Here is a 17,273-nt window from a genome sequence, read left to right as displayed (position 1 = left end):
GTATACGTATATGCACGCGTGTGTGTGTATATATACGTATATGCACGCGTGTGTGTGTGTATATACGTATATACACATGTGTATGTATATAATTATGCAATTTTAAAGTCTAAAATAACAAACTTATAAATTTTCTGTAATTATTTGAAATGTTGATATTCTCTCTTAAATGAAAAACCGAAATGAAGTTATCAGATTGCTAATAGAATTAAAATTTGAGTGCTTCTTTAAGCCTCAGTGTTTAACTTAAAACTATTAGAATAATAATAGCACACTTTCAATAGAAAAGCAGCTGCTGACAGCCAGGACCTTGTATAACAGGAACAGCTAGGTCTTGGTGTACTTCTGATGAACCTAATCATTCTCACAGATCACCAACCTCAGATAAGGTCACTAGTGACAATGATTAAGAGAGTCATCATGCCTGAGCACAAATTAAAAACAAGGTCACAGTGCAAACTATATAAATGACCAAACATATATTTTCATGCTAACTTGGATTACTTATGCTTCCTAAGCGATTAGAATTTCAGTCTCCTTCTATTATTCCAGCTTCATCAACAAGGTTCTTTAAGACACTCAATCATAGAATTATCTCTGTCTCTGAATAATTACACACCCAGACTGACCCTCAATTCCTTAATCCTTCCCTAAAATCACTTAACACAAAGCCAAATCCTAAAATAAGCTATTCCTAACACCTTATTAAGACACTTCAGAGTTTCCCAAAGGCAGCTATCTCCTTGCTATCACAAGCATCAGAATGTCTAAATTTGATTACAGTTTTATTCCTGGTGTGATTTGATAGTTGGTTATTAACAGACATAACATAGAGTTATAACAAGAATTAACTGGAGTAGTAATACAAAATATCTAGCATGGTCACTGTCATATGATAAACACTAATTTTTTAGTGTAACTGATTTTCATTTGAAACAATTTAGCAAAGAAGCTGTATTCTTGTCATCTTTGTGTTTCTTCTATAAAACAAAGTACTTGAAAAGTAATAGACATTCAATGAATATTTGTTGAATAAATAGATTACTTGTATTTAAATATTAATAACAAAGATTTAGAAATTATAAAAGGTTATAATGAAGACATCATACACAATGTAGAAGAAAGTTTGTAATGAGTAAGATGGCAAAAATAGTAGAACCATGGAATAAGAGAATTTAGTCTCAAAGTGACTGTGAAGATACTCTTACTAATATTACTCCAAGTACACACAACTGAAATTTGTTTTCCATTTCTCATTAGATGATATATTGAAAGAGTATTGGCTTTAACATTACATTATAAGGTCCCTGAAGAGTTATTTTCCATTCACGCTCCCACATCACATTCCTATTCCAAAATAGGCTAATAGATTCTTCCAGAACTCATGGCCTATATAAATAGTGATTGGTTTCCTTTGAGACCTCACATGATCTTATTCCCAATGCAAAGTTATAATACGAATTTCAGCTAACTCACATTTGGATTCAGCACCATTTTCCTAAGATTTCAGACTAGCATTGAATTTGTTAGATTGACCAAATTTAGGCCTCTGGGATACCATTTGGTACACTAGAGCATAAGTCTCTATTAAACTAATGATGCACTAAATGGCATGCAAATGACCTGAAAGAATAAATATGTCTCCTTGAGAGCAGGACTTCTAGCTGAGGAGAGACTTGGATGTCAGGGAAAAAAATTGCTCATCAATGTGCCAACCATCAACTACATAATCAATAATCTCAGAACCCAGGTTTCTTTATGTAGTGAGGTATTAATGTATTATTAATATTCATTTTAAACATTGATAAGGTACATCTTGTTAGCTAACTAAAACACTATTTCTGCTAGATAAATACAAAAGAAAGTAAATTTCCCATATATTTCTGTCAATTGATTAGCTTATAGACTGATTTACTAGCATTATATTTAATTAAAACCCTATTTGGTATTAATGGGAAGAAGTACTGTTTATAAACATTAACTTGATTTTCTCAATCCTCCCTTTCACCTCAAAATTTATCTGTATATTAAAAAAATAAGTTTCTCTTGCTTTGAGAAACCCAGCCGAGGCAGGAGGATCACTTGAACTCAGGGGTTTGAGACCAGCCTGGTCGACATAGCGAAACCCTGTCTCTACAAAAAATACAAAACTTAGCTGAGCGTAATGGAATGCGCCTTTAGTCCCAGCTACTTGGGAGGCTGAGGTGGGAGGATCACTTGAACCCAGGAGGAGAAGGTTGAATTGAGCCAAGACCATGCCCAGCCTGGATGAGAGAGACCCTGTCTCAAAAAACAATAAAAAGAAATAAAAAAGAAACCCATACACACATATTTACACACACTTAATATATCCAGTTAAATTGTGCAAAACTATCAATAAATTAAAGATTCCTTACTAATGTTAGAAATTAGAGTTTTTTCAATAAAAAATTTCAATTAAGAAGCTACATTGACTAACAGCTATAATAACAATACTAATTTTGAGTATCTCCCATGTGACTAAACTGCTTATTTAAATTTTTATTGGAAACCATTATATATTCACAAGAATTTTCAAAAATAATACAGAGTTTTGTGTGCCCCATACCTAACTTCACCCAGTTATGCCATGTAACTGTAGTACAATAGCAACACCAGAAAATTGACATTAACATATTACTTGGTAACTAGATTGCATCCTTTTTTAGAACTTGCTTTCATATGTGTATGTGTATGCATGTGTGAATAATTTTATCCACTTTTATCCCAAGTGAAGTTTTTCTAACCACCCACACATTCTCTTTTGAGAAGAGATATATAGAGAGATTTAATTTGATACTGGAAACTAAAAATAATTATGCTAAAACTATATACATCAAAGAGATTAAGATGGAAAAAATAAAGCAATGAGTGCTGTGGAAATATAATAAAATTTAACCTTGTAACATGGCATTAATATAAGAACTAGGTTATATAGCAATTCTCTTTAATATATCAGAAGAATGTATTTAACCAATTTGTTTGAGCTCTTCAAATATGATAAGAACATACAAATTAATATCAAAATAAGATTTACTCTACATATCAGAAATGATTTTGGTAATGATATATCACAAATGTTTAAAGTACAAAGTGTGCAGTGAAAATAATTTTATTATGTAAAATTTTATAATATAGAAACTAATATTTAAATTTTATACGGAAGAAATGTGTTATATTTTTGTCATTAAAGGACAAAAAGAAGATTCTCTAGATACTAGTTTTAGAGACAAAACACATAGATCAAGATGAGAAAGAACAAACAAGTTAATTATGATAGACACGGACTTGGTTCATATGCTGAGGTTAAACGGATCTTTTGAATATTGACCAAAAAAAAGAAAAAAAAAAGTCTGGAATCCGAGCCAAAAATAATATATTTTCATGAGACAAACTAAGGAAAGAGATTTCTGGAGATTAAAATGATTTGTATAATAAGCCATTGAAGTATAATGGAGAGAAGGACTTCAGAAACATTTAACACTTTGTCTCTAGAATTTATCACTGAAGTTTCTTTGAGAAAGGTATAGTAAGGCTTTAGAATCAATTATAAATTTACAACAAATATGTGAGGCTAGAAAATGAAGCAAAATTTTCAGGATTTATATTAGGAAAGTGAATAAATGTAAGTAGTTATCAACTTTTTTTTTCTTTTTTTCTTTTTCTTTTTTTTTTTTTTGGAGGCAGATTTTCACTCCCATTACCCAGGCTGGAGTGCAATGGCACAATCTCTAATCACTGCAACCTCCCTCTCCTGGGCCAAAGGAATTCTCCTGCCATGGCCTCATGATGTTCAGGCTATTATCAAACTCCTGGGCTCAAGCGATCTGCCCGCCTGGGCCTCCCAAAGTGTTGGGATTACAAGCATGAGCCACCACACCCGGCCAACTTTATAAGTTAATTATAAAAAGAAATGTTTACCTCCCACTTCTCCCAAGTTGTTCATAGTAGATGCTAACAAGGTGTTCTTGGCTGGAACTAATTAAAACTATATTTGCCAAAAACTTAAAAATAAAAGTTGGCAAAGCGCAGTGGCTCATGCCTGTAACCCTGCATTTTAGGAGGCGGAGACGGGAGAATCGCTTGAGGTCAGGAGTTCAAGACCAGTCCAACCAACATGGAGAAGCCCCATCAATACTAATAAACACAAAAATTAGCTGGATGTAGTGGCAGGTGCCTGTAATCCCGACTACTCTGGAGGCTGAGACACGAGAATTGCTAGAACCCAGGAGGCAGAGGTTGCAGTCAGCTGAGATCGGAGCAGTGCACTACAGCCTGGACAACAGAGTGAGACTCTGCCTCAGAAAAAAAAAAAAAAAAAAGAAAAGAAAAAAAAAGTTAAAGCTACTAGCAATGACAGAAGAAGAGTATCTCTTTAGAAGAGTCATTAAAATGTCAATGTTTTACAAAAGAAGCTACATAATCAGGCATCAGAAATCAGGTGAATAAGAGGTTAGACAAATTAGTGAAGTAGAAGAATTTACGATTTCTAGAAAAGGCTCATAAAATATTTATATTTTCCTAGCTTTCTTAGTTTTCACCATAAGTAAATTGAATTATTTCTGTTGCTGGTTATTCTTTTACCTTTTATTAAAATTTTTAAAAAAGCTTTGATGTTTAGTTGAGAGTCGAAGTATGGGTATAAAAAGTATTCAACCATAAAAATGAGGTCTTTTCCCTAACTCTAGTGGAACTATGCTCATTGCCTTTAGAGAAAAGCCAAAAGATTCGTTTACATTGTGATGATGTAGTTAATCAAATGTGCATGCCACCACACGCAAGTTGGTAGGATGGTTGAAAACAGGAGTGTGTTAACTATAGCAAAATATGTCTCCCAGCAGGAAACTGTAACCCATCTAAAAGTCCATGAGACAGACACACTTATTTTAACTACAGTTGTTAAACTACAGTTGCTGCAGTCGGGCAGTTTTGATAGAAATTTGAAAGAAATTGTATTCATTTTATATTGCTGTATAATACATTATCACAATCCAGGTTGATATAACAAAATTGTATTATCTGACAATTTCCATGATATAGATATCTGAGTTTGGGTTAACTGAGTTACCTCCTCAGTGTTTCCCCAGCCTGAAGTCAAGGTGGTAGGTGGGACTTCAATCTCATATGAGGGTCTGGGGCCTCTTTCAAGCTCCCTGGTGCTTGACAGAATTTATTTCCTCGTGGTTGTATGACTGAAGTCCCCATTTTTTTTTCTAGCTGCCAACTGGGAGCCCCTCTCAGCTTCCAGAGGCCACCCAGAGTTCCTTGATGTGTTCCTTACATCCCTGAAAGTATGGCAGTTTGCTTCATCATCTTCAGACCTGCAGGAGAGCCCCTCTCAAGCCTTGCCTTCTTATAATGGCTCATCTGATTGGGTCAGGCCTAACCAGGTCAGACCCAACCAGGGTAATCTCCCTCTAATTAACTTAAAATTAGCTAATTAATGATATTTCATCATATTCACTGTCCCTACTCCCACTCAATGGGAGGTGATTATACAGGACATGAACACTAAAGGGTGGAAACCTTGAGAGGCGTCTTGTAATTTTGCCTATCATAACCACAGTTGAAAATAATATAAGGCAGTGGAGTAATGAAGAAATGGAGAAACTGATACCAGAAAACCAAATCAAAAGATCTCCCTTTTCCCACATGATGCCAAAGTGGTATAAGAAACCAAAATGAAATGAATACAAATGGTTTAAAGCAATTTGATGACATGTTATGCAGCTATTAAAGTCATGCTTTCAGACAGTATTTAATGACATGGAAAACACATAGTGTATAATCCCAAATAAAATATGAAAATACATGTAATGGAATCTAATGCAAAATATTAGCAGTGGTTATAGCTAGGAAGTCATCTTTTTTGTGTTTTATTGGTGACCGAAGTTTTCCAAGGTAATTGTTATTCTTATAAACAGAAAATAAAGTAAAAGTAAAGCCAATAGACTGTAAGAGCAATAGTCCATTTTTAGGAGATATATTAGACAAAACATTAGCAGTTTAGACAGTAAACTTCATCAGTAAATTATAATAAAATAAAAGTATAAACATGGACATTGTAATAAACATATCAAGGAGTTATTAGAATTCGTTAAAGAGTTTAGAATTTTTAGTTTTGAAAACTGCTCCAACATAGCAAACCAAATTACAAGCTTAGAAACAAAAATTAGATTTAAAAATCATTACAGTTAATTATTTAGAAATGACACTATAGGAATATTTGGATGAATCAATTTCTAAATCAATAAAAGTAGAACATCACATGAACAGAGTAAAGAACAACACCCATATGATCATTCTAATAGATGTTGAAAAAAAGTTCAAAATTCAAAATCTGTTTATGATAAAAGCCCTCAACAAATTGAATACAGAAGAAACATACATAAAGATAAATATCCCATATTACAAATCTATAGCCAACATCGTACTGAATGGATAAAATATTGAAAGTCTTTTTTTTAGGATTTGGAAGAAGACAATGGTGTCAACTTTTACTAATTTTATTCAACTTCAAACTGGAAATCCTGGCCAGGGCACTTAGGCAAGAAAAACAAATAAAGGGCATTCAAATTGGAAACGGAGAAATGGAAGTAACCTTGTTTTCATTTAATTTAATTTAACTAATTTTAATTAATTTAATTGTAATAATTTTATATTTTGAAAAACCTAAAGATTCCATGAAAAAAATCTGTTAGAATCAATAAACTTGTAAGATATGAAATCAACATACAAAAATCACTAGCATTTATTTACACCAACAGTGAATGAACAATCTGAAAAAGAAATCAATAAAGCAGTCCCATTTACAATAGTAACAAAAAGTATCAAATATTTAGCAATAAATTTAACCAAAGAGTGAAAACTGTCTATAAGAAAAACTATAAAACATCAATGAAGGAAATTGAAGAGGAAACAAACAAATTAAAATATATTTTATGCTCATGGTTTAGATGAATTAATATTGTAAAATGACAATACTACCAGAGGCAATTTACAAATCCAGTGCAATTCTTACCAAAATACCCATGACATTCTTCACAAGAAATAGAAAAAAATAAATCCTAACATTCATATGGAGCCAGAAAAAAACACCACATAGCCAAAACAATCCTGAGAGAAAAGAACAACCTGACTTCAAAATACGAAATTTTGGAATTACATATCATGTAATGCATATGGAATTCTGGAATTACATATAATATAATGTATGTAACCAAACTACAGTAACCTAATCAGCATGGTATTAGCATAAAAACAGACACATAGACCAATAGAAAGGAATAGAGAACCCGGAAACAAATCTATGCATTTGCAGCCAACTCATTTTTGACAAAGATGCCAAGAACATACAGTAAGGAAAGATCATATCTTCAATAAATGGTGCTGGGAAAATTGGATAATCATAAGCGAAAGAATAAACTAGACCCTGTTTCTCACAATGTACAAAAATCAAATCAAAATGGATTAACTCTAAGGCCTGAAACTACTAGAAGAAAACATTGGGGAAAATGCTTCAGGACAGTGATCTGGGTAAAGATTTTTGGGGGGTGAGACCTTAAAAAGCACCAACAATAAAGGCAAAAATAGAAAAATAGGGTTACATCATGCTAAAAATCTTTTGCACAGGAAAACAAACTATCAATAAGTGCAGAGACAACCAACAGAATGGGAGAACATATTGTCAAACTATCCATCTGACAAGGGATTAATAATCAGAAAAAATAAACAGTAGAAATAACTCAGAAAGAAAAAACACATTAAAAACTGGACAAAGTATCTGAACAGATATTTCCCAAAGAAGACAAGCTCTATAGGTATATAAAACAAGACAGTAAGCAGGTATACATAAAAAATGTTCAACATCACCAATCATCAGAGAAATGCATATCAAAACCACAATGAGATATCATCTCACCCTAGTTAAAACTGATTTTACCAAAAAGGCAGAGAATAACAAATATTGTCAAGGATGCACAGAAAGGGGAACCCCTATACACCGTGGCTAGGAATGTAAATCTGTACGGCCACTATGAAAAACAGTACAGAACTTCCTCAAAAAAACTAAAAATATAGCTATTACATGATCCAGCATCCCACTACTGGGCATATATTTAAAAGTAAGCAAATCAGTTTATCAGAGAGATATCTACACTCTCATGTTTATTGCAGCACTAATCACAATAGCAAAAATATGGAATCAACCTAAGTGCCCATCAATGAATGAATGGATAAAGAAAATGTGGTATGCAGGCATATACATATACATATATATTATTCACACACACAATGGAATATAATTCAGCCATAGAAAAGAATGAAATCTGATTTGTACCAACGTGGATGGATGGATGTAACTGGAGGTCACTATGTTAAGCGAAATAAGGCAAGCAAACAAAGACAAATCTCATGAGTTCTCACTCATATGTGGAAGCTAAGAAGGTGGGCATCATGAAGAGAGAGTAGATGGATGGTTATCAGAGGTTAGGACGTGTATGGCAAACAGATGATGAAGAAAGGCTGACTAATGGGTACAAATACACAAATGGACAGAAGAGATAAGACCTAGTGCTTGATAAATTAATAGGATAACTATAGTGTACTATAATCTATTGTACGTCTCAAAAGAGCTAGACGAAAATAATTTGAATGTACATAGCATGAGAAAAAAATAATTATTGAAGATGCTGGATATGCCGATTACCTTGATTTAATATTTATGAGTATATCAAATTCTCACGTGTTCCACAAAATATGTACATCTATCACATATCCATAAATTAAAATAATTTTCAAAAATAAAAAATTGAAATTAGACACACTAAGCATATTTAACTAAGAGTTAAATATTTTTAGAAAAATTGTTCCGTGAGAATTATCAGCTCTAGATATATTAAAAATTATATTTCTGGCCAGGCATGGTGGTTCATTCCTTGGAATCCCAGCACTTTGGGAGGCTGAGGTGGGTGGATCGCTTGAGCTCAAGAGTTCAGGACCTGCCTGAAAAACATGAGGAAACCCCATCTCTACAAATAATACAAAAATTAGCCAAATATGGTAGTGTGCAGCTGTTGTCCCAACTATTCAGGTGTCTGAGCTGGGAGGATGGCTTGAGTCCGGGAGGTGGAATTTGCTGTGAGTAGAGATGGCACCACTGCACAACCGGCCAGGGTGACAGAGCCAGAACCTGTCTCCAAAAATATACACTTGTGTATATGTGTGTGTGTGTGTGTATATATATATATGTGTGTGTGTGTGTATATGTGTGTGTATATATATATGTATAGATGTATAGATATGTAGTATCAAAAATTCTTTTCATCATTGTCACAGCCTGTAAACTTAACTCCAGTAAAAGTTGTATCACTGGAAAAATCCCTATAGAAATAAAAAATATTTACAATATTGTGTTTGCCAAAAGTAACTGATACTGCTCTCAATTATATCAATGAAAATGAAGTTGCTATAATAAATGAATTTGCAAAAAAAGTGAATCAGACAAATCTCATGATCAATGAAGACATTCTGCTGTGGCTAACCATAAATAGTCTAAGTATACCATTTCTTCCTGTATACTAATACATAAGACTGTCAAGTAATTTTTTTCAGACTCTTGTCTACATATTGTAGCAATTATTTCTCTGGATCATGTCACGATAAATTAAATGTAAGGTAATTGGTATTTGAGCGATAGCATTTCTTAACTGTAGAAGTGTGAGTGGGTGATATTATCTCCAACACAACACCTCGGTAGTCATTGTATTTTTTCCACTTTCTTGATTTTCTGTAAACCCCTCTTCACCCTCTATTCACTACAAGAGATTTAATCCATACTAACAAATTGATGAAATATATACAAATTTGGAAGAAACTGGGAGCTAAATTTTTCTTTACCACAGAGGGAGTGATAGATTTGAAGATGGAGGAAACTAGAATAAATATGGAGGGGTTATATTGCTTGGCTCCAGTATTCCCACAGGACCTCTGCTCACCCCATATGCAGGTGGTCTTTACCTCCTTATGGCTCTGATCTGACACCTGCCATAAAAGCCATCATTCTTGATGTATGCCCTCCTCACGCTGGTTTGACTTCAACACTTTATATTAATTTGTTTCCTCATCAAAATGCCCTCCGTACTCCACAAGGACTCTGTACTGGGCTACTGCAAACTCTAGTATGTATAGTCCTCTTACTCCAATCAGTCTCCAGTATCTCATGAAGGATTCTGCCTTTCTCCTCATCCCAATGCCATGTGGCCTAGGATAATTTAAGAATTCCTTTGCAGTTGACAGCCATTAACTTATAATTACATCAGTTGGAAAAAGTTTGTGCCTTGCTTCCACTATGTTTAGTTGTATAAGAAAAGTCAAAGAAAATGTGTGTTTGAGTACACCTATCATTGACAATTTGTATTCTTTCCATGAAGGTGCAATGCTTTGAGAGACTACAGGCAAAGAGAAATAAATATTTGTAATGTATATTGATGCATGCCTTTAACCTACATAAGCAAGAATGAGGGATATGAAAACAGAAGAGCACCAGAAACAAGGGAATCTTGATCACGGGTCTAAATGCATGAATGAGCTGGAAGGATCAGAAATTGTGGTTGGACAGGGAGTGATTTAATTCATAACTCTGGAAGATGTGCAACTGCTGCTGGTAATGATAACATCCAGAATATGAACAGGTGTCCTACCACCACAATGGAAAGCACATGTTACTAATGTTAAAACTGTTAGAAATGCAGGTATATAAATTTTCCAAGGCAATGTTAGAGAAACATACAAAAAGTTGTTACAAATATCAATTGTTTGTAAATATTTATTTGTATTGCCTTTGACCTCTGAAATCAAGTTATTAAAACCATAGAGAAATAGTAAGCCAATGTTTCAGGTAAAATGTTTGCTTTTGTCTCAAATTCTAAAATACTTGCCTATACTAAAGAAGTTACAAAACATGGCTTGTATCTTAATTAATCATATACTCCCAAAACCTAACTAAACTATACACCAAGGACTTAAAATAGACTATAATCAACATGCAGTATGTAATGATTTGTTGATTACTCTTTTGAATGTAATTTAAATATAATAAAAATGAGAAATATAAAAGCTAATTCTAGGAGAATGTAAGTTTGTAATTGTAGCTATTAATGGTTGAGTCCACACTGACAATAAATAATATCATGCTGTTTAATTATGTGAAGAAGCTCTAACTATTTAAAATAGATATTTCATGACATTAATAATTACAACAGAGAAAATATAGTTGAGGATAATTTAATTTAGTCAATAATTTAGCAAATGAAAATAAATTATATTTGCATATATAGTAGATACAGATGTAGCTCTAGATGTAGCTGTAGCTGTAGCGGAAGATGTAGTGTAGTTATATATAGAGAGTGTTCTTTAAGAGTAAATCAATTCTAGACCCACCTAGCAAAGATCTCAGTCATTCCTTGACAATATTTATTTCAAAAATTAATTTAAAATATTATAAAAATATATTGACAGAGATTATAAACTGGCATTTCAATGAAAGAAAAACATACACAGAGATTAATTTTTTCTGTTTTTAAAAACATAAGTTTTCTAAGCTATGAGGATGCAAAGGCATAAGAATGATACAATGGACTTTGGGGACTTAGGGGGAAGAGTGGGAGGGGGGAGGGGGTTAAAAGACTACAAATATGGCGCAATGTATACTGCTTGGGTGATGGGTGCACCAGGATCTCACAAATCACCACCAAAGAACTTACTCATACAACCAAATACCACCTGTACCCCAATAACTTATGAGAAATTAAATTAAATTAAATTAAAAAGTGCATTGAAAGCAAGGAAGAGAAAATTTCTGCATGCGTCCAGGGCAGTTTAAAGCCATTTCCCACATTTAAAAATAAGCAAATAAACAAAAACACATAAGTGAAATAATTCAATATAAGTGCAGTGGAAATATTTTCTTACCTATATTTTTGAATACTTAATATTTTTGATGCTTCTGTAAGTGGTCCTATTTTTAAAAATAATTTTCTATTTGTTTATTGTTAGTATTAGAAGTACAATGTATTTTTGTATGCCAATTTTTATACTTATATTACAAAATTCACTTGTTGATTTTAGGATTTTTTGTAAATTACTCAAGATATTTGTAATAAACAATGTTTTCTATGAATAAATACGGTTTTACTTTTTAAGGAAAAAGCAATAAACAATCCAGTCCAATTCAATATTTAAGTCTTTTATTCTTTTTGTTCCCTTATTATACTGGGATGGAAGTCAAGTAAAATGCTGATTAGAATAATGAAAACAGAAATCCTTATCTTATTCCAAATTTTAGAGGAAAAAAATCAGATATTCACTAATGTGTATGATGCCAGTTGAAGTTGTTTCAAAAGTGTCCTTTTCTAAATTGCAAAATGCTTTCTCTCTTTTTTGAAAGTTTTATTAAAAAGCAATGCTGAATTCTGCAAATACCTTTCCTATCATCATGGAGAGGATTGCATTATTTTCTCTTATTTTATTAATATGGTTAATTACAGTAAGTTAATTTAAAATACTTGTAAAAAGCACTGTGCATATTGAGGCTATATTCACTTGGTCTACATGTGTTTCTTTTCTTTTCTTATTCTTTTTTTTTTTTTTTTTTCTTTTTTGAGACAAGTTTCGCTCTCTCGTCCAGGCTAGAATGCAATGGCACTATCTTGGCTCACTGCAACCTCTGCCTCCCAGGTTCAAGCGATTCTCCTGCCTCAGCCTCCCGAGTAGCTGGGATTACAGGCGCATGTCACCATGACCAGCTTTTTTTTGTATTTTTAGTAGGGACGGGGCTTCGCAATGTTAGCCAGGCTGGTCTCAAACTCCTGACCTCAAGCGATCCGCGGACCTTGGCCTCTCAAAGTGCTGGGATTACAGGCGTGAGACACTGTGCCTGTCCTGCATGTATTTGTTTTTATTGTTGGTGGATTTGTTTTGTAAATGCATCTCGTGAAAACATTTTAATGTTTACAAGTGATGCAGCAGTTTAAAAAAATAAAGAAAAGAAAAAAAGAAAACATGAGAAAGAGAAGAATGTTCATGCCTTGTACAAGAAGAAGGTGCCAGAAATATGAAAGAGAATCCTTAGGCATAGCCCTTATGCTAGTATCCTTTTCCATTGGTTGGAAAATAATTACTCCTGATGTCTCATCCTCACCTAAATTTCACACTTTAAACACTTTATTTCCCTTGAATAAGAAGTCATTTCTGTACTATCTTATTTTAAAAAATAGATTTCAATATTTTCCTTCTCAAATTTCATATGTACTATGTACAGTTAAACACTTATAGTACTATACAATATTCATGGTGGCCAGCATGAGTAAACCAGAGTATTGGAAAAAAATTATAAAGCAAGTAATATTTGAAGAGGACTTTAAATTATTTTAGAGTAGTATATTTGGAGAATGCAGTGAATATAATACTATGCGTAGGTTAGTGGATGAAGAATAAGAAGAATAGATACGGTGGAAAAATTAAATAATGACCAGGTTTCAAAGCTTTCTGAATAACTTATTACAATGTTTGCTATATATTTGATATAAATTTCATTTGTTAAACATTATATTTAAATGATCAAGTAAAAGTTTTAGGAATATTAATTTGGCAGTGATAACAGGAAACATGAGATAAGAATAAGATTACAGAGGGAATGTACATCCTGAGGACTATTTCAGTACCCCCTAGAAAGCTATAGAAAGAATGCAATGCATGCATGATACATGGTAGTTAGAGTGGTAAGTGGGGTAACTAAATTTGGAAGATGAAGGAGAGGGAGGTATGTATGATGTGTTTTCAAAAATTTGAGAAGGAAAATAGTGAAATCTATTTTTTAATATAAGATAGTAGAGAAATGACTTCTTATTCAAGGGAAATAAAGTGTTTAAAGTGTGAAATTAAGGTGAGGATGAGACATCAGGAGTAATTATTTTCCAACCAATGGAAAAGGATACTAGCATAATGGTTATGCCTAGAGATCAAAGATCTTCAAGAAAGAAAGTATGATGAATTTCCAAATGTATTTGAAATTGAAAGAAATTGAAACTGTAAATATTCCAGGCATATTGATTTCCTGGAAATTAGCTAAAAATCATTTTGAAAAAAATTTAATTATGATAAAATATTCTGAGATTGTTTTAAGCTTTGTTTATGGGGGCTGAAAATGCAGGTAATAAAAATTTGAAGCAGAAACTGAAAATACACTTTCCCACCACCACGCATTCTATCATACCATCCAAGTCATCACTGGGCTCAGAAAATTTTGTAAAAACTGATTTTCAACCATGTAGCGTTCATATTTATTTCTCCTCTCTACCAGTTAGCACTGTGTATTGAATACAGTAGGTACTCAAATATTTTTGTGTGGAATAAAACAAATTACAAAGAGATGCATTAACACAAAAGATAAGGTACAATGGCATTACAACAACTGCATATCAAAATAGGAGAAAACATTTCTAGCTTAAACTATACATACAAAAACACTTAAGCATAGGAAAAATTAAAAATGTAAAATTATTAGATGATCATGATAATTCCTATTACATTGGTGTAGAAAAGATTTTTAAATATTGTGACAAAAAGCAAAAACCTACAGAAAATGATTATAAATATTGTCACATTAAAATACAAAAGCATCTTTAGTTTTGTAACATGCTACAAACTGGGAAAATATATTAACACTTTAATAAAAAAAGAAATAAAACATGCTACAAACTGAGAACATATATTTACGTTTTAATAACAAAAGCAATATTGCTATCTAGAACATATAATAATGCTTTTGTTTTAATTCTGAAAGCAACAATAACCAGTCAGGACAAATGAAACATTAAAAAAATGAAAATGGGAAAGCCTATCAACAGGAAATTCTCTCTCGCTCTCTCTCACACGCACACACACACACACACACGTACACTACCATCAACAAATGGGCCAGCCATAAAACTGTGAAAAGATGGTTAGTTACACTAATAATCAGAGAAATACAAATCAATCATGAAATACTACGCTGCAATAAAAAAGTACGAGATCATGTCCTTTGCAGCAACATGAAGAGCTGATGGTTATCATACTAAGTGACGTAACACAGGATCAGAAACCTGAATATCTAATTTTCTCACTTTTAAGTGGGAGCTAAATATCAAATACATATAGATACAAAGAAGGAAACAAAAGACACTGGGGCCTAGTTGAGGATGAAGAATGCAAAGAGAGTGACAATCAAAGTCTACCTATCAAGTACTACATTTATTACCTGGTTGACTAAACAACCTGTATACCAAACCTCCATGATGTGTAACTTACCTTTATTAAAAAAAAAAAAAGGACATGTATCTCAAACTGAGGAGTAAAAAAAAAATTAAAAATGAAATATGAAAAAAATCCAAAACAACCATCATTCTGCATTTTGACTTTTTGGAACTATCATATTGTCAAAAATTAGCATCTGATAGTATTAAGTGCTTCTAAGGACATTCAGCAAATGGGACAGCTTATATATTTTGGTAGAAGTGGAAATTATTAAATCAATTTCCTTTTAAAGTTTTCATCCTAGAGATACTCTAGCACAAGAGAAAAAGAATAAATGATTCAGGAGATTCACCGTTTTACTATTTAATGTTGAAAGTACACATAGACTGATTACAGTAATAAATTACATTTTATTCCAATAATAAAATTATTTCCATAGATAACTAAATTTATGTATTTTTGCATGAATCAAACTAAAAATATATAACACAGAGAGAAAACTTGCAAAAGTTTGTTAATAGTATGAAATCATTCAAATAAAATAGAAAATAATGCAGTGTGTTCTTATATGAATGTACATGTAAGGGCCAAATACTTCTAAAATACATAAGACTAATATACACAAACTTCAAACTTCAGGAGAATGGTTATTTTTGGGGGTGGAGGGTAAAGGGATCAAGATGGTTATTTTGGGGGATGGAGGGTAATGGGATTAGGATAGGATTTTGGTGATACTGATAATTGTTAACAACAAAAAATAAAGTAAGACAGATCTAAGCCTATGTTTAGTTTATTTAATCTCAGTAGTGACTACTAAGCAGCTATTATGTTAATTCTCATGAATTGAAATATTTCCAAATTAAAATTGTTTCAAAATAAATGGCAAAGATGAATGGAACCTATCTTTTCTTCTAATATTGGGTGACCTGAATCTAAACATCTACTTCCTGAGAGGCTTGTTCTCTTCACTACTTTCCTCCAAAAAGCCCAAATTCTTTGTGGATCCAAAGCAAGTCTGGAGTTCTCAGTATGCAAAATGAGAGAAACTTCCCTGGTTAAAACTAATAAAGTCTCTGAAGAGCAACTGTATAAAAATTCTTTTTGACTAGTCTTTCGTCCAATTAAAATGAGCCATATTAAAATTTAAGTATGGCTTCTAAGCCATACACATACCATTAAATTTGCAGGAATAATGAAGGCAACCAATTTTAATCCTCTTCAATAATGCATCCCTATATTTGCTCTTAAGGTAAGGGTAGTATTTATTTATTGATCATGATGCATTATCCACACAGTGGAAACTATTAAGCAGTTTCATCTCCTGTGATATTTCTAAATAATTCAGAAACTGATTTCTGTTTTCTTTTTATCATTAAAGTCTGTCTCATTTAAACGTAAAAAATTTAAGTGACCTATGATTTTGTTTCTTTACTCCCCAGACAGCACAAATGGCGTAAAGTAGCTACATAGAATTTGCAGATATAAGTATCCCCTATTGTTTCATCTTTTTCCGAATCAGCACCAATGGCATAAAGTAGCTACATAGAATTTGCAGATATAAGTATCCCCTATTGTTTCATCTTTTTCTGCATCAGCAGCTTTTCTTTCCAAGTATTTAGGAACAAAACACAAAATAATTTTAGAAATATGCTTTTTAACCGGGCTGGGCTCGGTGGCTCATGCCTGTAATCCCAGCACTTTGGGAGGCTGAGGCGGGTGGATCACAATGTGAAGGATCGAGACCATCCTAGCCAATGTGGTGAAACCCTGTCTCTACTAAAAATACAAAAATTAGTTGGGTGTGGTGGCACGCACCTGTAGTCTCAGGTACTCAGGAGGCTGAGGCAGGAGAATTGCTTGAACCTCTGAGGCGGAGGTTGCAGTGAGCCGAGATCAGGCCACTGCACTCCAGGCCTGGGCAACAGAGCAAGACTTCGTCTCAAAAAAAAAAAAAAAGAAAG

This window comes from Homo sapiens, chromosome 3 (assembly GCF_000001405.40).
Source record: "Homo sapiens chromosome 3, GRCh38.p14 Primary Assembly".
Classification (NCBI taxonomy): Eukaryota; Metazoa; Chordata; class Mammalia; order Primates; family Hominidae; genus Homo; species Homo sapiens.
This window is presented reverse-complemented; position numbering follows the sequence as displayed.